The 22,557-nt window shown below is 42.7% G+C and overlaps 1 protein-coding gene across 14 annotated transcripts in view, besides 2 other annotated features; it reads left to right on the top strand.

Moving 5' to 3' along the window:
• Positions 1-22,557, top strand: part of ELMO1 (engulfment and cell motility 1) — a 596,421-nt gene that overhangs the window by 167,221 nt on the left and 406,643 nt on the right. For all 14 annotated transcript variants that reach the window (NM_001206480.2, XM_011515654.3, NM_014800.11 and 11 more), the window contains one exon: positions 10,224-10,274. In NM_001206480.2, coding sequence (NP_001193409.1) covers positions 10,224-10,274 — 51 coding nt within the window. The remainder of the gene's footprint in view (positions 1-10,223; positions 10,275-22,557) is intronic.
• Positions 2,304-2,803: an enhancer, noted in NCBI's record as "H3K27ac hESC enhancer chr7:37318907-37319406 (GRCh37/hg19 assembly coordinates)". NCBI's record gives its function as "activates a minimal SCP1, AML or CMV promoter by ChIP-STARR-seq in primed H9 embryonic stem cells {active_cell/tissue: H9 hESC(primed)}" and the evidence as "EXISTENCE:reporter gene assay evidence [ECO:0000049][PMID:30033119]".
• Positions 2,804-3,306: an enhancer, noted in NCBI's record as "H3K27ac hESC enhancer chr7:37318405-37318906 (GRCh37/hg19 assembly coordinates)". NCBI's record gives its function as "activates a minimal SCP1, AML or CMV promoter by ChIP-STARR-seq in primed H9 embryonic stem cells {active_cell/tissue: H9 hESC(primed)}" and the evidence as "EXISTENCE:reporter gene assay evidence [ECO:0000049][PMID:30033119]".

Genomic DNA, 22,557 nt, shown 5'->3' with positions numbered 1-22,557 from the left:
CATAACGAGAAAAACAGATTTCAGAGGGAAACATATGACAATGACATTTTTCTGTGCCATCTTATTACCCATCCACATGGAGGCTGAATCGATGAGCTAGTAAAGACACAAAGACATCCTATCGAGATGCCTGTGAATGGCAGGGGCTGGTACAGTCTGGAACTGCTGGCTATGAGTAAATATGACAGCAGGGCTTTGGCTGGCTTTCACTGGGCCACTTGTCATTCTCCTCGTACATTGTGTGCAGTCAGGACATTTCCCTGCAGAAATGTTCTTTCTGCTGCTTTTCTCATCATTTTTGAGAAGCTGGCATGAGTTTTGTTTGCTTCAGACTTTATTTATTACCTTGAAATTCAGAATATTTATTCCAAATGTCATGTGTAGTCTTAGAAAAGTTTAGACTGTGACGATTCTGAACTTCATTTTGCATCAGAATTACTTGGGATCATAGTAAAAATGCAGCAAACCAGGCCCCTGATTCACGAGCTATGGAGGGAAATCCCCAGAAATCTGCATTCTAACACTCACCCATGGTGATTCTAAAGCAGATGGGCTGAAGATCATAGGATAAATGAAAGATTAAAGACTCATTTTCCAGAGAGGGCATGTGGCAATTTCTTGGCACTGTGAGTTGATAGATACATTCTTTGCTTTCATGGAATCCCTTTCCCTGTTTGTGGGGGGTATTGCCTCATTGTTTTTTTCTTCCTCACACACTTTATTTCCCATAAGTTATTGGGGTAACAGGTGGTATTTGGTTACATGAGTAAGTTCTTTAGTGGTGATTTGTGAGATTTTGGTGTACACATCACCCAAGCAGTATACACTGCACCATATTTGTAGTTTTTTTATCCCTCACCCCCCTCCCGCTCTTCCCCCCAAGTCCCCACAGTCCATTGTATCATTCTTATGCCTTTGTGTCCTCATAGCTTAGCTGCCACATATCAGTGAGGACATACGATGTTTGTTTTTGCATTCCTAATTTACTTAGAATAATAGTCTCCAATCTCATCTGGTCGCTGAAAATGCTGTTAACTCACTCCTTTTTATGGCTGTGTAGTATTCCATCATATGTGTGTGTATATATATATATTTATATATATATTTTTATATATACCACAGTTTCTTTATCCATTCGTTGATGATGGGCATTTGGGTTGGTTCCATGATTTTGCTATTGTGAATTGTGCTGCTATAAACGTGCATGTGCAAGTATCTTTTTTTGAATAATGACTTCTTTTCCTCTGGCTAGATACCCAGTAGTGGGACTGCTGGATCAAATGGTAGTTCTACTTCTGGTTCTTTAAGGAATCTCCACACTGTTTCCACAGTGGCTATAGTAGTTTACGTTCCCACCGGAAGTGTAGAAGTGTTCTCTGTTTACCACATCCATGCCAATATCTACTGTTTTTTTTATTTTTTTGATTATGGCCATTCTTGCAAGAGTAAAGTGATATCGCATTGTGGTTTTGATTTGCATTTCCCTGATCATTAGGGATGTTGAGCATTTTTTCATATGTTTCTTGGCCATTTTTATATCCTTTTTTGAGAATTGTCTATTCATGTTCTTAGCCCACTTTTTGATGGGATTTTTTTTTTCTTACTGATTTGTTTGAATTCGTTGTAGATTCTGGATATCAATCCTTTTTCATATGTATAGATTGTGAAGATTTTCTCCCACTCTGTGGGTTGTCTGTTTACTCTGCTGACTGTTCCCTTTGCTGTGCAAAAGCTCTTTAGTTTAATTAGGTCCCAGCTATTTATCTTTGTTTTCATTGCATTTGCTTTTGGCTTCTTGGTCATGAAATCCTTGTCTAAGCCAATGTCTAGAAGGGTTCTTCCGATGTTATCTGCTAGAATTTTTATAGTTTCAGGTCTTACGTTTAAGTCCTCAATCCATCTTGAGTTGATTTTTGTAAAAGGTGAGAAATGAGGATCCAGTTTCATTCTCCGACATATGGCTTGCCAATTATCCTAGCATCATTTGTTGAAAAGGGTGTTCTCTCCCCACTTTATGTTTTTGTTTGCTTTGTCGAAGATCAGTTGGTTATAAGTATTTGGGTTTATTTCTGTGTTCTCTATTCTGTTCCATTGGTCTATGTGCCTGTTTTTATACCACTACCATGCTGTTTTGGTGACTATGGCCTTATAGTATAGTTTGAAATCAGGTAGTGTGATGCCTCCAGGATTATGGCTGCCTCTGTTGAGTCATGCAGGTTGTCAGGGAAGTGGGGGAAGGCCGGCCGTGACAGGCTTCACCCAGCTCCCATGCAAACTGAAGGGCCAGTCTCACTCCCACCATACAAAGTTCGGCTACAGATTTCCTTCTCCCTGTGGAGTTATACCCCCTGCTCCACTGGCCACCCTCCCGTTGGATCCCTGTGGTGCCAGGTGGTAATGGCCTGCTAGGGGACGCAGCGAGCTCCCAGGACCTTTCTGCTGCTTCCTCTACCCTGTATTTCTCTCCCGTCTCTAAATTGGCTCAGCTCCAGGTAAGGTCGGAAACTTCTCCCGCAAAGAGACCTTCAGCTTCTTTAGTGGGGGTGTGTTTTCGGAGAAGAGGGTCTCCCTTTCCTACTTCCACAGTTGGGGCACTCACAGTATTTGGGGTGTCTCCCGGGTATTGCAGGAGCCAGTCTGCTTCCTTCAGAGGGTCTGTGGGTCCTCTCGGGATTACTGGTTTGTCCTTGCAGTCTATCTGGAGCTAAAATCCACAAAGCGAGCTTCCGCACGCTACTCTGTCCGGAGCTGCAATCTAGTCCTGCCTCCCGTCCGCCATGATGATCCCCTTCCCATTTGCCATTTTAAAGCCTTAGAGCCACGTCTCCCCATTGAGTTGAAATGCCCTGGTGAGGTAGTAGCCCTCACACACTTTTTGTTTGTTTGTTTGTTTGTTTGTTTTTGAAACGGAGTTTCGCTGTTGTTGCCCAGGCTGGAGTGCAGTGGCGTGATCTCGGCTCACTGCAACCTCCACCTTCCAGTTTCAAGCGATTCTCCTGCCTCAGCCTCCTGAGTAGCTGGGATTACAGGCGCCCGCCACCACGCCTGGCTAATTTTTTTGTGTTTTTATTAGAGACCGGGTTTCACCATGTTGCCCAGGCTGCTCTCGAACTCCTGACCTCGTGACCCACCGGCCTGGGCCTCCCAAAGTGCTCGGATTACAGGCGTGAGCCACCGCGCCTGGCCCCTCACACACTCTCATACGTCATTTGATGCAGTTTCTTCTCTGGCCTGAGAAAAGTGACCTTGCCTCAGTTAAATGCTGGTTGGATTGACCCTGATAAGACAGAGATGACCTTGTTGCTCACCTTGTTGAGGGAGAATATCAGCATGAAACACTTTGTCAGTGTCTCAGGCAGAGGTGAATTCATCAGGACTCCACTAGAGATGCAGTACCAGTAGGAGATGTATAGGAACTGACTGCAAGGAATTACCTCATGGGATTATGGGAGCTGGTTAGGAAAACCCTAAATCCACAGGGTGGGCTGGAACTCTGAGACACAGACTGAATCTGCTATCTACTGTCCACAGGTAGAATTTGTTCCTTCAAGGTACCCTCGGCTCTGTTTTATTGTTAGTGTTTTGTTTTGTTTTGAAGAGACAGGGTCTTGCTCTGTTGCCTAGGCTGGAGTGCAGTAGTGGGATCATAGATCACTGCAGCCTTAACTTTCTGGGCTCAAGCAATCATCCCACCTCAGCCTCCCAAGTAGCTGGGACCACAGGCATAAGCCACTATGCCCAGCTAAACAACTCTGTTTTTAAGGCCTTTCAATTTATTGAAACAAGCCCATTGAGATTATCTAGGATAATCTCTCTTACTTAAAGTCAAGTGATTATAGACTTTCATCACATATACAAAATACCTTACAGCAACATCTAGATTAGTATTCGCATAACTGGAAACTGTAGCCTAGTGAAGTTAACACATCAAAAAGGGCCACCCAGTACCACACCACCCCCAGCCCCGCCAAAAAAAAAAAAAAAAAAAAAAAGGAAAAGCTATCACAGAAAGTAAAGTCAGAATTTATTGAGAATTGGAAGTTTGGTTTAGTTGGGTCTTTCAAAGCATGCATGGGTCATGATACAACAGTTTGGATTGGTGGAAACTGCAGGCTTTGAGGCAAGGGATTCAAAGAACCTTAGGGTACAAACAGTTGATGTTTTTCATTTGAGTTTCTGGGTCTTTCAGAAAGTTCCTGTAATGAGCAGTCATGCCATCTGCCTAGGCAGGAGACTTCTGGAAGAATAAAGTTATGCCAGTAAAGACAGAGGAAGCATACAAAGTGCTGTTATTGCAGACATTGGAAGGTGTGCGTTCTCAGTAACCAGCTGAGTGTGGGGGTGAGGGAGATGGTTTCTATTCTCAGCCCAGAGGCTCTGGATTCCTTTCTCATGAAGCGGGCCACATGACCCTTGTTCCCAAAGCCTGAGCCTTGCATTTCTCCTTAGGAGAATATCTGTGGACAGATATGCCGGCCATATTGCCCAGCTGGCTCAAGAGAGAGATGACATGTTTGCTAACAGCAAATCAGAGCTGGAGTGCCACCCCTTACTCCTGCTCTTCCCTCTTCTTAAATGGTGGAAGATCAGTCTACCTTTCAAGAGTCCCGTCTTCCTTTTCTTCCTGCATCTCCAGCTCTAAGCGACCACATAGGACTTTTCTCTGTTCCATGAAGATGTCTTGTCCTTTCATGCCTCAGAGCTTTGAGATGTGCTGTTTCCTCTTCTCCCCTGGGAAATCCTGCCTATGCCCAGAGGGCCATCTTGAATGTCATCTCCTCTAAAAGCCTGTGCTGCACACCCTGTTCTTCCCCTCTCTCTGCATCACACCTATGTGCTGATGCAGTGCTGGTCACCCCCAGGTCTCTGCCATGGTACAGATGCAGTTATTATATGTCAGTTTCTGTCACTGACCAATTCCCAGCGGACAGGAATTAGTCCTGTTTAACTTTGTATCTGCCTTGGTGCCTCATCTGTGGCTGGCATACAGTAGTTTAGCTATTTATTCAACAGATAGTTTTTGAGTGCCGGCATGTGCCAGGTCATAGGTGTCCACTCTTCTGGATGGGAGTGATATAGACATAATAAACTATCTGCTCTCATGGAGGTGACATCCTAGGGGTGAGGAAGACAGCCAATGAACAAAAAAGATGCATAAGTAAAAGCACATAGACAGCACTTATTGATGCTCCGAGGGCTGCTCCCTCTGAAACAGACTGAGGACTGAATAGGATAAAAAAAGTGGGTGAGAGATTCCCTGCCTCCAATACAAAGCATGCTTGTGAGACAGAATTCCTCCTTAGACATGCCGGTCAACTTACAGAAGAGGTATGCATTTGCTAATATTTGTTATCCTGCTGGGTAGACGTTTCTGTCCTTGGTGTAACATAGATTGTACTATTATTTTTATTTATTATTTATGTATAGGGTCTAGCTAAAAACAAATAAGGGTCTAGCAGTGTGCTTTTTATGTGTTTTATTTTATTTTATTTTTTGAGACGGAGTCTCGCTCCGTCACCCAGGCTGGAGTGCAGTGGCGTAATCTCGGCTCACTGCAAGCTCCGCCTCCCGGGTTCACGCCATTCTCCTGCCTCAGCCTCCCGAGTAGCTGGGACTACAGGCGCCTGCCACCACGCCCGGCTAATTTTTTTTTGTATTTTTGGTAGAGATGGGGTTTCACCGTGTTAGCCAGGATGGTCTCGATCTCCTGACCTCGTGATCTGCCTGCCTGGGCCTCCCAAAGTGCTGGGATTACAGGCTTGAGCCACCGTGCCCGGCCTACGTGTTATTTTTGTGCTTAATAATAAACAGCGAACTCTCTCTCTCTTTCTCTCTCTTCCTATCTCATTTCTTTTTAGCATTTGCAATTTGCCAGGCTGTTTTAAGGACTTTAAATGGATTATCTCACTTGGTCCTCAGAACAACCTAGGAAATAGGCAGTATCCTCATTTTCCATGGGAGGAAGCCGGGGACATGAGAAAGCTGGGAACATGAGGACAGCCATGCCACTTGCACCAGGTTTTCCCGCTCGGAAGTGAAATGTGTGTCCAGTCTGGGTGGCCCCATCACTTTTAAGCTATGCACTATGCCTCCTGTGTGGGATTTATGAAATCAGAACAATGACAAGCCTCTTTCTTTCTTAATGAAGTTTACATCCCAAGTTAGGCCTTTCAGAGCCAAAGGTGTCATCAGCATATGGTGAAAAAGCTGTAATCCAGTTGACTTTCTGGATAGAATATAGTCTCAGAAACAGTGGTCTACCATTGCCTTTGTTTCTGAGTTTGCTCTGCCTTTCTGTCAGGACCTTAACATTTTTAATGCATATTTTAGTAGTTCTACATATCTCCTTTTCATTTAAAGTACAAGACACTGATTTAAAAGCATGGGGGAAGGAAGGGAGAGAAGATAAATGTAATTGTTGATTGAGAAGGCACAGGCAGAAGGTGCTGTTGTCTCTGGGACAGCAGTAATTGCTCTCATTCTTGAGCCAGTTGGAGTCTAGATGCAGTGCCTGCGTCCGTTTCCTCTTGTTCTTATTCACCTCTAACAGTGCATTGTTCTTCCCACTTTTGGGAAGAGAGTTTAGGTCTGAGGAATTAAGTAGCTTTTACTGAGTCCACTCAGCTGGTGAGAAGCAGAGCAGGAATTGAGCCCAGCTTTATCAGAGAATTTAATCATGCTTTGCTTTGAAACAAACAATCATCAAGACCCTTTCTTGAAAGCAATCTTGCTTGGGTTCCAAAAAAGAAGGAGTGAACCTTGAAGGAGTGCCTGAGGGAGCCTAGAGGCCAATGCGGAACTTTTCCAGCCCTCCTCCCACCCAGCACCCAGTACATCACCTTGGGTGTGGCAGGGAAGCCCTGGGACTCCGAGGAGCATTCCTTAGCAGTTAGGAATCCAGTCTTGATTATTTGCTGTCATGTATGTTGAGCGACTGATGAACTCTTCCTCTGAGGGTAAATGCAAGGCCTGGCTCTTACCTTTGTCAGGCAGACAGAGCACAGCATTTGTTGTCAGACTACCTGGGTTTGAGTCCTCTCATCCTCCTCCATGATGTTGGGCAAATAACTTATCCTCTCAGCAGCTTTGCTTTCTTATCTTTAACGTGGGCATAGAGTTATAATGTTGGTTACATAAGCATGAGAAACAAAAACTCCGAGCCCAGTTCCTTTCAATAAATGTTAGTTTATTGCTTTTGTTAGGAATGTCTCATTGCAGCTCCAAATTTCCATGATTATTAGAAAGATTATTTCTGGGCCAGGTGTGGTGGCTTATGCCTATAATCCCAACACTTTGGGAGGCTGAGATGGGCAGATCACAAGGTCAGGAGTTTGAGACCAGCCTGGCCAATATGGTGAAACCTCGCCTCTACTAAAAATACAAAAATTAGCCGGGCTTGGTGACAGGCTCCTGTAATCCCAGCTACTCGGAAGGCTGAGGCAGGAGAATCGCTTGAACCTGGGAGGTGGAGGTTACAGTGAGCCCAGATCGTGCCACTGCACTCCAGCCTAGGTGACAGAACGAGACTCCTTCTGGGAAAAAAAAAATTGTTTCTAAACCCTCCTGGCCGCTTCATACCCTTGGGGCCTTCTTCCCTTCCTGTTTGGAAAATTTGGGAAGAATAAACTAGACCTCTTTCCTCTTGGGAAGGGACCTGCCTTAAGTCTTACATGAACAGGTGTGCCTGGCCCAAGGGTTCAGTCAGCACGTCTGCTGGCTCACTCTGAGCGTTGTTCTCCATAATCACTAATATAAAGGATTTTTAGTTCTCCATCTTATTTTCTCAAGTTGTTTAGAGCTTGAGCAAAGAAAGGGTATGTTATGTATTTGGCTTCCTTAGAACTCTGTTGTTAGTATTTGCCATCTTCCTTTCATTTCTCACAGAGTCATAGAATTTTAGAGTTGAAAAGAGATTTTAAAAATGACTTGAATTCATTTCCCCAGCTCCTATCTCAGCCTGCCTGCCAAGAGGCATTCAGTACCATGTTTGCATGCTTCTAGTAACAATGAGCTAGCTCTCTCCGGAGGTGACCCAGTGCATCAGGGGATGCTCTACACTGGGCTGAATTGCACACATAGGGCCTGGATCTGGTGGTGTTGGGTTTTCGGGCCTGCCTGCACTTGGTGTGAAATGTTCAGATCTGCTTTTCTTTGGGAAGAAATACTGGCCTGAAGGCTGCCCCTTTTTGGGTGGTTCTTTTAGAAAATTCATTGTCCAAAAAATCGTCAGAATTGGCTGAGGAAGCAAGCAATCTTATATGTCTTTGGCATTTCATCAAGAAATTTCCCACCACCTCAGTGTGTCTGCTGAGTCCTGAGCAAACTCCAGCTTGTGGCTCGTCTTAAATTATGCAGGGTAGTGATCCTGAAGGCAGATTTATTAACCCCCAACTTCAGCATACCAGGTAGGGCATGCGACCACGGTGAGTCCTGGAAGGCCTCCTCCTGGAAATTGGGTGTGGTGTGTACTCTGCTGGAAGAAAATAAAACCACCAATGAAATTCTATCTTCAATGTCAAAGATGCTGTATTAGTCTGTTCTTACACTGCTATAAACAACTACCTGAGACTAGGTAATTTATAAAGAAAAGAGGGTTTAATTGACTCACAGTTCCGCATGGCTGGAGAGGCCTCAAAAAACTTAACAATCATGGCAGAAAGGTAAGCAGGCATGTCTTACATGGCAGCAGGTGAGAGAGGGTGTGAAAGAAGCAAAGGGGAAAGAGCCCCTTATAAAACCATCAGATCTCGTGAGAACTCACTCACTCTCACGAGAATGGCATGGGGGAAACTGCCCCTATTATCCAGTTGCCTTCCCCAAGGTCCCTCTGTTAACACATGGGGATTACAATTGAAGATGAGAGTTTGGTGGGGACACAAAGCCAAACCACACCAGATGCTAAGTGATAGCTTCATAACACTTACTTCAAATATACTTGCCAAATGGAGGCAGACTGATTGGAGAGCTGCTTATTTATGCTGTTTGTGCTTAACTTCAAGGCAACATGCAAAAGGAATCAGCAAATGTTAAGAAACCAAACTCCTTAATAACCCTTTTAAAGAAACAGCTTTACTGAGACAGACGTCACAATGATTCACCTTTTAAAGGTGTCCAATTTGGGGGTATTTAGTGCATTCACAATGTTGTGCAGCCATCACCAATCTAGTTCCAAAACATTTACATCACCCCAAAAGAAAACACTGGACCCATGGAGCAGTCATTCCCATTCCCTCCCTCCCCCAGCCTTAGGCAACCATTTATCCTAATGGCTGATTCTATTTATTTGCCTATCCTGGACATTTCATGCAAATGCAGTCATATAACATGAAGCCTTTGTGTCTGGCATCTTTCACTTAGTGTAATGTTTTCAAGGTTCATCCATGTTATAGCATGTATTGGTACTTAATTCCTTTTTTTTTTTTTTTCCTTTAAGACGGAGTTTCACTCTTGTTGCCTAGGCTGGAATGTAGTGGTGCTATCTCAGCTCACTGCAACCTCTGCCTCCTGGATTCAAGCAATTCTCCTGTCTCAGCCTTCTGAGTAGCTGGGATTACAGGCGCCTGCCACTATGCCTGGCTAATTTTTTCTTTTTGTATTTTTATTAGAGACGGGGTTTCGCCATACTGGCCAAGCTGGTCTCAAACTCCTGACCTCAGGTGATCCACCTGCTTCGGCCTTCCAAAGTGCTGGGATTACAGGTGTGAGCCACCACGCCTGGCCCTTCATTCCTTTTTTATGACTTACTAATTTTCTGTGGAACGGATAGACCACATTTTGCTTATCCATTTATCAAGTAATGGACATATGTATTGTTTCTACGTTTTGGCTATTATAGATAATGTTTCTGTGAACATTAGTGCACAAATTTTTGTGTGGACATATGCTTTCACTTCCCTTGAGTAAATATGTAGGAGTGCAATCGTAGGAGTCAGGAATTGTAGAAATGTAGGAGTCAGGTCATATGCCCTTAATAACCTTTTAAAATTACTTTTTTTGTTTGCTATACTTGGGACCCATATTCCTTTTCTTTGGGTTTGTATTCACTTCCTTTGTACTGAATATTGTCAGATAGAAAGTTAACAGCCTTTATAGAAATAATTAAAAATTATTCAAGTGAGAATAAACTGAATGCCTGTTATATCTGCTAGATTATATTTGCCTTTGTTCTCTTCTTTACCAAGCTTCTACTTGAAAATTTACAAAGATTTTTTCTTCTTTTCCAGAACCGCAATGAGATAAAAAATGGCACTATCCTTCGATTAACCACATCTCCAGTAAGTTGATCTTAGCTTCTGACTTCCAGCAAACTCTTTGCTCTGCGTTTCTGCTATATGTGATTGTGGGATATTAATTTTTGAGGTTGACTTTAGTGCAAAGCAAAAGGCTTCCAGAATGTCCTGACATGCAGATTCTGGATTAGCAGGAATGCCCCTCCGTAGATTTCCCACTGCAGAGGAGGAAGACCTTATTCCAGGCGAAGGGCAAGCTTGTCTAACCTGCGGCCCAGGATAGCTTTGAATTCACAAATTCGTAAACTTTCTCAAAACATTATGAGTTGTTCTGTATTTTATTTAGTTCATCAGCTATCGTTAGCGTATTTTATGTGTGGCCCAAGACATTCTTCTTCTTCCTGTGGCCCAGGGAAGCCAAAAGATTGGACACTTCTGCTTTAAGATTTGAGTTTGGAGGTCATCTTAACAACTTCTGTGTTACAGCTGGGATCACTCACCTGTACCAATTGGTTTTACCCACCTACTCACACATCCACCTAATGCCATCTGAGCAAATTCAGACAACAAACAAAGCAAACAAAACCAAAGTCAGTTACTTTCCTTTAAAGTCGGTTACTTTCCTTTAAAGTCAGTGTGGCTGGGCGCGGTGGCTCATGCCTGTAATCCCAGCACTTTGGGAGGCCGAGGCAGGTGGATCAGGAGGTCAGGAGATCAAGACCATCTTGGCTAACACAGTGAAACCCTGTCTCTACTAAAAATACAAAAAATTAGCCGGGCGTGGTGGTGGACGCCTGTAGTCCCAGCTACTCGGGAGGCTAAGGCAGGAGAATGGCGTGAAACCTAATAGGTGGAGCTTGCAGTGAGCAGAGGTAGTGCCACTGCACTCCAGCCTGGGTGAGAGAGTGAGACTCCATCTCAAAAAAAAAAAGAAAAAAAAGAAAAAGTCAGTGTGTGTGTGTGTGTGTGTGTCTGTGTGTGTGTGTGTGTGTGTGAGAGAGAGAGAGAGTTTAAGTATTTTGTAGCTTTAATGGGTTATTATGACAATTCATAAAAATAATTTAGAAATATTGACCACTTCACTGATCCATTGACAGCTGATTCTACATAAGAACTTTAGAGTCTTCTGAATTAAAGCTGCTAAACAAGACGCTACAGTATATTTAGACTATTGTAGCTGATGATGTCTCTCTTCTTGGTCTTTCCTACTTGCTTGGAGATACTTTAGGTAGTAACATTAGCATATTTAACTATATTATTTTACAGTGCATTTCATTGCTTTCCTAAAAAATTATCTGCCCCAAATACACCAAGTGTTACTATTTTCACTCTGCATATGTGATGAAAACTGTGTCTAACTATCATTTTCAGTTTCCACTGAAGCCATGTGGTAGACTAAAAATAAATTTAAAAATTGGGAAAAGCATCTGGCTAAAATTAAGCTGTGGGTACTGTAACTACCATAAATCCTTATTGTTGAAAATTACATTAGTGTGGCTTAGAAACTCCTAAACATTTTGCCCAATAACATCCTGAACCTAAAAACAGTGATGAGCTCAATGGAGTGAGTTGCTACAGTTGGCTGAACTGTCTTTGATGCCTGCTTTGCTACTTAATGGAGATTATAATCTACTCATTTTTCAGTGGCTACATGATGAGCTGAGGCGTTTTCGTCTGACTTTGCATTGGTCTTCTTACTCAAGTCAGCATGAATGAATGTTAATTTGACCTTTACACCATTGTTTTATGTGTTTTTTGTAGTTTCTGATTATCCTGCTAAAAGTCATCATCTGCTTGCTGGACAGAAAAAGTAGACCTTGCCTTTTATTTCATTTTAGAGTCTAAAAGACAGCTTTTTAATCAAAGCCTTCTCTAAGCCAAAGAAGGAGTTAGTTTCATTTTTTTACTGCTGTGGATTTATGAACAAAAATTCCGCAATCTAAGTCACTCCTTGAGAGAAGGCTTAGATGTTAGGCAGAGTGAAGTTTTTCAGCATCCCAAAAGAAACTTAGCGTGACTTGTCATCAGGAAGAATGGAATTTGTGTTCTTGAGATAATGATCCTCACATTCCCAGCTCAGTGAATGGAAAGATGTGAAAGCCAGTGTAAGAGGCACTATTAAAAGATGGGAGCAGCCGGGTGCAGTGGCTCACGCCTGTAATCCCAGCACTTTGGGAGGCCGAGGCAGGCGGATCACCAGGTCAGGAGATCAAGACCATCCTGGCTAACACGGTGTAAACCCCGTCTCTACTAAAAATACAAAAAAAATTAGCCAGGCGTGGTGGCAGGCGCCTGTAGTCCCAGCTACTCGGGAGGCTGACGCAGGAGAATGGCGTGAACCCAGGAGGTGGAGCTTACAGTGAGCAGAGATGACGCCACTGCACTCCAGCCTGGGCAACAGAGTGAGACTATGTCTCTGTCTCAAAAAAAAAAAAAAAAAAAAAAAGATAGGAGCCCAGCTACAAAAGACTGGCTTACATTTTCCAAAAAGCAGTGATCCCCAAACCTGGATCAGCTGTGGAAGTTTGAAAATGCTGATGTCTGGGGCCTTAATAGAGAGGCTGGATTACAATATTTGGGAATAGGCCCCAGGAATCTGCATTTTAAGCAATCACCTTGTGGTTTGGCTGTAGCCACAGGGTCTAGAATTGAGAAGTTACTCTATAAGCCAGAAATTTGGGATCTGTGAACTTTAAATAGGTTATTTTTTATAGTTTTGCATGTAGCTGAAAAATATACTTGCATATGCTTGTTCATTTTTACATACACAATAAAAATATGTTAAAAACAACAACACCTATTAGAGTACCATAAAGAAGCCAGCAGATGGTGTTATACTAGCTTTCGAAGTTCCTTCGTCTGCCTCAGCTGAACTCTCCCTGAAGCCAAATAAGGACATCTCAACATCCACATGGGCACACACACGCCTGCGCGTGCACACACACACACTGCTGTTTTTATGTAACGTGTAGCTATGCTGAGTTTTACCTCCACTCTGTCAAAGGTGGTCTTTTTGTTGATTGATGAATTTGTTTTCTGTCTCCCTTTATCACAGAACAGTCCCTTCTGGATTGATCCTAGAGAAATGGTCACTAATACTAGAAGATCTAAACAAACAACCTGCACTGTTTAATTCATTTGTAATAGGCCTTGTACATGGCTGCTGCTTCTCCACTGCATGGTACATCTTTAGACAGTCTCTCTAGTGGCCGTGTTAAACAAGCGTATCTTTCTAGTGTGGTATCTTTATCTATCTCCTGCTACCATAAAAAATATAGGCTGGGTGTGGTGGCTCACACCTGTAAACCCAGCACTTTGGGAGGCCAAGGCGGGTAGATCACGAGGTCAGGAGTTCAAGACCAGCCTGGCCAAGATGACAAAAACCCCATCACTACTAAAAATACAAAAATTAGCCGAGAATGGTGGTGGGCACCTGTAATCCCAGCTTCTCGGCAGGCTGAGGCAGAGAATTGCTTGAACCCAGGAGGCGGAGGTTACAGTGAGCTGAGATCATGCCACTGCACTCCAGCCTGGGCGACAGAGCGAGAGCCTGTCTCACAAAAAAATATAGCCAGGAACACACCCAGAGAATGTGTGCAAATGTGTGTGACCTTTGGAGCAGTCAGGATTTGGGGAGCTTCTATATGCAGAGCTGAGTAGTGTCTTGTAGTGTCTCCTACCTGCCATGATCATAATAGCTGTGGGCATAGAGTCTGAGGTCCTCTGTTGCATGCAGCATATTTTAAAATCAGCTTTGGCTATTGTTCGTATCAGAAACAGCTTGGCTTGCCAGACCATTGTTACTTTTCTGAAATTTTTGTTTTAAGAAGTGCTTATGGTGACTATATTTGTAGTCTTGAAGTAGAGAGAAACTTCTAAGTAGAACACAAAATGCAGAAACCATAAAGAAAAAGATCAATAAATTTGACTACCAAAAAATTAAAACAACCCCACAAAAACTTTGTGTTTGGAAAGAATTCCAGAAACAAAGTCAAAAACAACATTGGAAAAAATAATTGACAGCTGCATAATGGAGGTCCGGTTCATTCATTTGCAAGATTTTTTATGAGTGGATCAAGAAACCGTCCCAAAAGACAGGCTGCCAAAAGCTATGAACAAGGGAAAAATAAACAAAATAATGTCTGTGCATGTATGTGTGTATGTATCTATCTGAGAAGAAGTTCAATCTCTCTTAGAGATGAAAATCTACAGTCCTAGATAATCTAAGTGTGAGGAAAAGATGCTGTGGGGTCAGGATTTTGAAAATTTGAAGTAGAATCTATTTGTATGCCCTCTTCGGGGGCAATCTAGTGGTATTCACCTAAGTTTAAAATACATATACCTTTGTCTTAACAGTACTGCTGCTGGGAATTTATATAATAAATAGACTCACAAAAGCACTGCAGGATGAACACACACACACACGCGTGCGCGCGCCCAAGCATGGCTATATGCATCATTGTTTTTAGTGATCAAAAACTAGGAACCTGTTATGTATCTATCAGTTGGACTAGGTAAGTGCAGTAGGTAATTTTTATGTTGTAGAATACTGTGCAGTTGTTAGTAAGAATGTGATACGTGCTGCCGAGGAGGTATCCCTAAAGTATGCCATTAACACAAAAGCAGGTTGCAGAACATCCTGTATAGAGGGATGCCTGTTATGTATGTGGAAGGGAAGTGTATGTATATTCAGATAAAAGGATAAAATGTTTCTCAAGGGATACCCACAAGAAACTGTTACCTTTGGGCTAACTTTATTTTTTTATTTGGTAACTTCCAGTAGTACTCGTGTGTGTGTGTGTGTGTGTGTGTGTGTGTGTGTGTGTGTGTGTGTGTGTATATATACATATTTTTTTTTTTTTTTTAGATGGAGTCTTGCTCTGTCGCCCAGGCTGGAGTATAGTGGCACAATTTCAGCTCACTAAAATCTCCGCCTCCTGGGTTCAAGTGATTCTCCTGCCTCAGCCTCCCGAGTAGCTGGGACTACAGGCGTACGCCATCATGCCCGGCTAATTTTTGTATTTTTAGTAGAGATGGGGTTTCCCCATGTTGGCAAGGCTGGTCTCGAATTCTTGACCTCAAGTTATCTGCTCGCCTCAACCTCCCAAAGTGCTGGGATTACAGGTGTGAGCCACCATGCCTGGCTGTACTCATGTATTTCTACCTATCTCATGTGCTGGTATTATTTTTAATTAAAGAAATACACAAATATATATTACAAAGCCATTATAGTACAAAAGAGGTGAATCATAATGCCCTATGCTAAAAACATGTCAAGATTGCAAACTATGAGATTTTTTTGTGAACCCTATTATAAGCGAACTGAATTATTGACCATTATGCCTTCTTTTGGCCTGTGTGGATGTATTATAGAAAGCAGAACTGCTCATCAAGTCCCTACTGTTGCTTTGTCAGCTGTAAGCATAATCCTTGCTTTCTACTCTTTCTGGTTTAGGGAGCCGGTATCAGCATTATTTAGGTCAGAGGGCCTGTCATCATGATTTTTGGGTCTTATTCCCTCTGGCAATAAGAAAAATAGTATTATCTCAGTCATTGTGTGGATTCAGGTTATCGGAGATTCTTAACAATAAGCCCATTAATTTTTTTTTTTAATTCCATTTTTCAATTCAGGTTTTCAATTTTTCTCTCCTGGTTTGAGAAACTAATAAAGGGTTGTAACATGCCTTAAATTCTATTTATTGGCATCACTCTCAGCGGCCTAGCTTATGGGAGAAGAAGCCAGTGGAGGCTGGCAGGCAGAGGCGACACAGGATCCCCAGGCTGCTGCCCAAGGACAGATTGCAGGGGCGGCCAGGGCACCGGGTCAGAGTTTCTTGCAGGTTCAGGAGATGCAGGGGGCTTGGGCTACCTGCCTTGTAGGGAATTGGAGAGTTGGAAGGAGTGTCGTGGAGGGCAAGCCCCAGAACTTCAGCATGTGGTGCTCTTTGAGGAAGGATGTCCTGTTCCTCCCGGTGCTCTGGCAAAATTAACTGCGTGCTGTTAACTAGGAAGCCTGGACAGATGCAGGTGTGCCAGCCACCCCCATGGAAATGGCATTTAAAGCTGTGGGCTGGAAGAGGTCACCATGGGGAAAGTAGAGGAGAGGGCTCAGCACAGACCCCTGGGGACACTCTTAAGGTTTAGAGGAGGAGCCTAGCAAGAAGCCAGGTGAGCAAAGTGTTTCAAGGAGGAGGGAGTAGTACTTAGGTGTGTTGGAGGCTGTCCAGGTAATAAAGATGATGCGATGAGGGTGGTCCCTGGGCTGCCACCTGGAGGTATTAATAGCATGGTGGAGACACTCTCCATGCAGGGCTGGACAGGGACGCCTCATGAGAGCGGGGAGAATAGGAGGTAGAACGGAGGCAACACTTTCGAGCTACTCTCTCTTCCAAAACTTTTGCTGAAAATGCAAGCAGAGAAATGAGGAAGTAGCTGTAGGGAAACTGGGTCAATGGATGTTTTTACCTTTCTGTTTATTTTTTTTAAAGATGGGAGATATTAGAGATTTTTGCAGCTGGAAATGTTCTACTACAGAGAGAGAATTGATGATACAGAAGAAAGGGAGATAAATTTGAAGTAAAATACTTGAGAAGGCCAGGGGAGAGGAGATCCAGAGCTGAGGGGAAGAGCTGACTTCTGATAGGAAACAGGGTCCCCGCCACACAGCATCTATCAGGAGGAAGCAGAGCTTGAGGGTAGAGATGCCAGCAGCTGGTGCTGTTAGAAGTAGGAAGATGAAGGAACTCCTGGCTGATTGCTTTGATTTCCTCAATTAAATGATCACCAGTGGAGGGGAGGCAGCAGAAAGGCATAGAGGGGGTTTAAGGAGAGTAGAAAAGGTATGGAGGAGTCATTCTGAAGGGACACAGCAAACATTCCAGGAAAATATTGGATTGCTGGGCAACATTGAGCGTACATTTGAAGATATCTATTAAACTGTTGAAACTAAGGATGTTTTTAGACTACTTTTTAATTGGCATCATGGATCCAGAGTTATGCTAGAAGTTTCTTGGGGATGATTTTAACTTGTATCTTCAAGAGAGAGAAATGTTAAATGCTTGACACACACACACTACCAGTACCCTTTCCTGTGCCCACGGCTAATCCTTTATGAGCTGTTTCCTCCCTTGGAGTCTGGAGTCTGGGTCCAGAACCCTTTCCTATCTGGGACATGAGGTAGCCACATCAAGCTGTTTCAATGGCCCAAAGTAAAACTTTTTTCTATCCTTAGAGCAATACCAGAAAATATAACTTGCTGTCTGATACAGAGACCTACATGACTATTAGATTCTTTTCATGTGTGCTGGTTGCTTGAAAAATCAGAACCAAGGCTATCTTATTTTTTTAATAATGTTGACTCTTTCCTCCCAAATATAAAAATGGTGCAAATTCATTATGGAAAATGCAAAAAATAAGGCTTCCTGCAAAGAAAATTGTTTAGAATATTACAATTCATAAATAACCACAGGTCACATCTACTTGCCTTCTTTGACCATTTGTATGCAAATGTGTGAATACATATGTGTGCATACATGAATGTATATATATTCATTTATAGGTTCATATATATATTCATTTATGCATTCATATATATATGTGTATTCATTTGTACATTCATTTAGTGAAATGTGTTTTGAACTCATGGTAAATGCCAGACACACTTCTGTGTGCTGGGTGACATTACATTCTGGCAGATACACACACTCCACTGCGCATATTCCCACCTCCCATAAACAATAAAATATGTTTGCGTCTTGGCTGTTTCTCTTAATATTGCCTCGTGAGGATGTTCTCACACTATTTTACATTCTCTAAAAGTTCCATATGTAGTTCTATATGATATTTCATCCTATGACTATGTCATGACTATTTCACCATTGTCCTATTGGTAAACACGATGGTTGCTCAATGTTTGGCTATGAATGCTGTTTTAAGGGCTCCAAATGTACCACACATCCATCTCCGATATTTACATGCATCCATTCAGGGAAGCACATCACCACCAGGGACTCCTTCAGCTCTGCATGCTCATGAACACCCTAGGCTACCTTGTCTACTGCTTCCACATCCTCACTTCCCTCCACACCCCCTGGCCTGCAGACCCCAGACACATCAGTCCTCTCCTTTCTCTCCCTCCAGACAGGCCAGGCTTGTTCCACCTGAATCAGGGCTTTGGCACTAACCATTGATGCTGCCCAGAATATTCCACTCCCCAATGTGGTGGGGTCCTTCTTGTCAGTCAGATCTCTCCTTGAATGTCACTTCCTTAGGTTGCTTGTCCCTGAAAACCACTCCATCTAAAGAAGCCATCAGTCACTCTCTAACACAAACCCTCCACTTTAGGTTTTGCTATGAAACATCAATATTTGATTTTTTATTGCTAATTTTAAAAGTTGTCCACCTGCCACACCAAGGTGGGTGAGCCCCAGGAGGTTGAGAACCGTAGCTGTCTTATTTGTTGCTGTATCCCAAATGTGCGGAACAAATGTCAAGCTTTTCAGAAGTATTTGTTGAATCAGTGAATGAGGATGCTGAGGATTTTGAAGGAACATTCCTTTCCACTGGATAACTGGAAAGACTTGTCTGAGAATACATATATTTATATATATAAAATATATAAAATTATATAAAGAGTGATCTGCAATAACTGATATCTGAGAACAAAATTTCCTTACAAAACTCCAATCTTTTCAGAATAAAAACTTTGATTCCCACTTTTTTTATATAATAAATGTTGTATTTCCAGATTATTTAGAAATTAGAGAAGATAAAAAGAAGGTATATCCCTGCCTGTTCTGGATCCAATTGGAAAAATATTGCATTAAAAGGGTCCCACCAGTTTGACATAATATTTTGATTGGAGGTCACTTCTGGGACTCACCTCTGTGGAGCACCTTTTCCTGGCGGACTCCATGATGAGGGTTACTGCCCAGCTGAGATGCACTCTGTCACACTGTGGGTGGAAGGGAACCTTAAACATGATCTCATCACAGTTCCTTGGTGTACCTACTGATGGGGAAAATGAGGCCAAGAGAGGTGAAGAGAGAAGTTCACTGCAGCCCTGGAGGTAGCCAATGGCAGAGATGTAAGTAGCCCTGCCTTGGACTCCTGGGTCATGGAGGTTTCCATCATGGTCCCCTCGCCACCTGGCTTGCCACAGTCCTCCCCTCCTCTTTAGTGATGTGTCTCCTCCAGTTGTTCACCTATGTCCTAGGATGAAGAGGGAAATTTACCCTAAAGCAAACACTGTGGGAACTGCACTTTTTAAAGAAAAGTTGTCTCCTTAGATACGGGTACCAAGGGAAGGAGCAAGGCCTGTGGGGATAGTTAAGAACAGCCTCATGCCAACAGAACACATCATTCTCAGGCGCTGGGGTGAGTGAAGGAGAGGGGTGAATAGTTCTGTAGGAACTTTCCAGGCCATTGAGTCTATGAGCTTTTTTGTAGTTTGACAATTTGGAGAAGGCTTTACTGCTATTACTGGGAGTGACTCCTTGGCTAAGATCCCAGCAAGTTAGGATATTGCTTTGCTATTCTTACATGTGACCATCTTGGTAAAATATTTTCAATTTCTATAGCAGCAACCCATGAGCAGTTGTGGGATTTGGGAGGACTCCACAGTCTTGATTCCTCTGCTTGGGACATTTGTCCTTTTCAGGTTTCTGTTGTTTCTCTCCTCACTTCTTTTATTTTAAAATTTATTTATTTACTTTTAAGTAGGTAAGTATGAAGGCATGTAAATGAATTAGGAAGAATAGATATAATAAAGTATATATTAATAAGAGTAGGTATAATAAATTCCATCTACTTAGCTTCCACATTATTGACTTTTTCTTTGTTTTCTTAGCAAAGGTTCTTCCTTAAAGGTGCACAGCTTTTAAAAGGGCAAGCACATTTTCTTTAGGTACTGTAAACCAGGAGGGCCTCCTTGTGTTACAGCTGGGGAAGATCAGGTGGTAGTTGAAAAACACAATCAGCTGGGCGTGGTGGCTCACGCCTGTAATCCCAGCACTTTGGGAGGCCGAGGCAGGCTGATCACCTGAGGTCAGGAATTCAAGACCAGCCTGGCCAACATGGTGAAACCCTGTGTCTACTAAAAATTGAAAAATTAGCCAGGCATGGTGCAAGAACTTGTAATTCCAGCTACTTGGGACGCTGAGACAGGAGAATCGCTTGAATCTGGGAGGCGGAGGTTGCAGTGAGTCGAGATTGTGCCACTGCACTCCAGCCTGGGTGACAGAGCAAGACTCCCTAAAAAAAAAAGAAAGAAAGAAAAACACAATCAGAGCTGCTCATTCTATCATCACGGAGAGATGCAGCATCCTGAGTGATTTAGAGTGGTGGTCCTCAGCGTGTGATTCCCAGGCCAGCAGCAGCAACACTTAGGGGCTTGTTAAACACAAAACTTTTGGGACCCCACCCCAGACCTTTAGAACCAGAAACTCTAGGGGTGGCCCTTGGTCTGTGTATTAAGAAGTCATCCAGGTGATTCTTACACAGGCAACAATTTGAGATCCACTGTTTACAATGTGTTTTCTGGAGTCCAGCTGCCCAGTTTCTATTTTAGCCTCAGCACTGATAAGCTGTGTGACCTTGGGCAAGTTACCTAACTTCCCTGAACTTCAATTTCCTTTGTCAAATAAAGCCTATGATAGGACCTACCTGTTGGGACTATTGTGGAGATTAAATGAATTACTTTATGAGGTATTTAGAATAGTGGCTTATAAAAAGTGCTAGGAAACTTGGCTATTTTTTATATTGGTATCAACTGCATCAAACACTATTAGCATTAATAATGACAATGAAATAATTTTTGGGTACTCATTATTGTCATAACCTATATAGTAAATGCAAACATCCTTCTTGGAGAAAAAATACACTTTTCAAGGAATTTGAAATGATTTGCTTGGGTTAACTATTAAATGTTCATGTGAATGCTGTATATCCATTTGAAAATTTTGGAAAGTACTATATCCCTGAACAATTTTAAGAGATAAATAATTCTCACCCAGCTCTCCACTCTCCCTTTTAATATTTGAGTGATGTGTGGGTTATCTGTAGATCAGTGAATAGATAAGTAGGGAGGGCTCTCGTTTTCCTCCCTGCTCTTTTCCTTCTTTTCTAATTTCTGATGCAACGTGTCTGTTTTTGGTTTTAATTAAATGGGAGACCTGCCACATCTGTGACCAAGTGATCGGGGCATGGGTTCTATCCCTGTCTCGGGTCCTAAAGAATTGCATCAGTTCCCCTGTTGAATCCTTTTCTCTTCTTGAGGGCTGCTTCCAGGTGACAGTGGAGGGAGAACTGGGCAGGGAGGGAGGGCTCTGTGGCTGTGGACCTGCTGGGGTGGAGTCTTTCTGCTCTTAGGACCTGCATGGATTCCCTCCCCTATTCCAGGCAGAGTCTGTGGCCAGCACTGGTTTTGCCTTCGATACCTAGGTGGTTCTCCTGCCTCCACTCTGCAACCTTAACCCTGTGATAGTTCACAGGGGGTTCCTGAGAGAGTTGTAACCAGTTGTCTGTTGAGGAGAGATACCTCATTAATGGGGTCGACACCCTATCTTCTCCCTCTCTAAAATATAACACGGTTTCAAAAGAGAAAGCAAGTACCCGAGAAGGAGAATATGATGATAGCAGAGTGCTTCAACCACAGTGATTTTGAGTTAACTTGGTTATCTGTATTAAGCAAAAACACAGGCAGAACATTTTATTCCTTTGTTTTTCTTACTGCCTGCCTCAAGTGAAAGGTAGATATGAAAACCTTGACTTGATGAATAAAACATCTGGACTACAAATTATTACCCAGAAGTTCAGCTTCTCTAATATATTTCGATTCCTCTCTGTCCTGCATGTAGAAGCCAAGTGCAAATGCCTTAAAAGTAATTCTAGGCATAGCTGTTAATTTGGTTTCCTAATTATTTAGTTTTACATTCACACAAGTAGCCAATGCATGTGAAACAACATGTTGTTGAAAATTGAAATTTACAAGCATCGTTGTGGAGTGCTGGAAGATTTGCAGTAACCTAGAAAGATCATTTGGGTGGCTAATGAAGCTCCCGAACATGTGTAGGCAGTTATTACTCAGAGTATTGACTGAACGGGTGAGCGTGCTGTATAAATTTGTGTAATTGCTTAACTAAGCAAATAGCTTTCAGTTGCTTTTACATAATAATTTTACTTAAAGGGTAAATACTTCCCCTTTCCTCCCTCCTTTCTGCCGCATCCTGTTCAGTTTCTAGGGCTTTAATATTCTTGTACTCTTGCTCTTGCTTTTCCTCGAAATGGAAATCCAACTCCTTTGAGAAGAATGCAACTGCTTCCTGTTGTG

The sequence above is a fragment of the Homo sapiens genome, chromosome 7 (genome assembly GCF_000001405.40).
Source record: "Homo sapiens chromosome 7, GRCh38.p14 Primary Assembly".
Lineage (NCBI taxonomy): Eukaryota > Metazoa > Chordata > Mammalia > Primates > Hominidae > Homo > Homo sapiens.
This window is presented reverse-complemented; position numbering and strand designations above follow the sequence as displayed.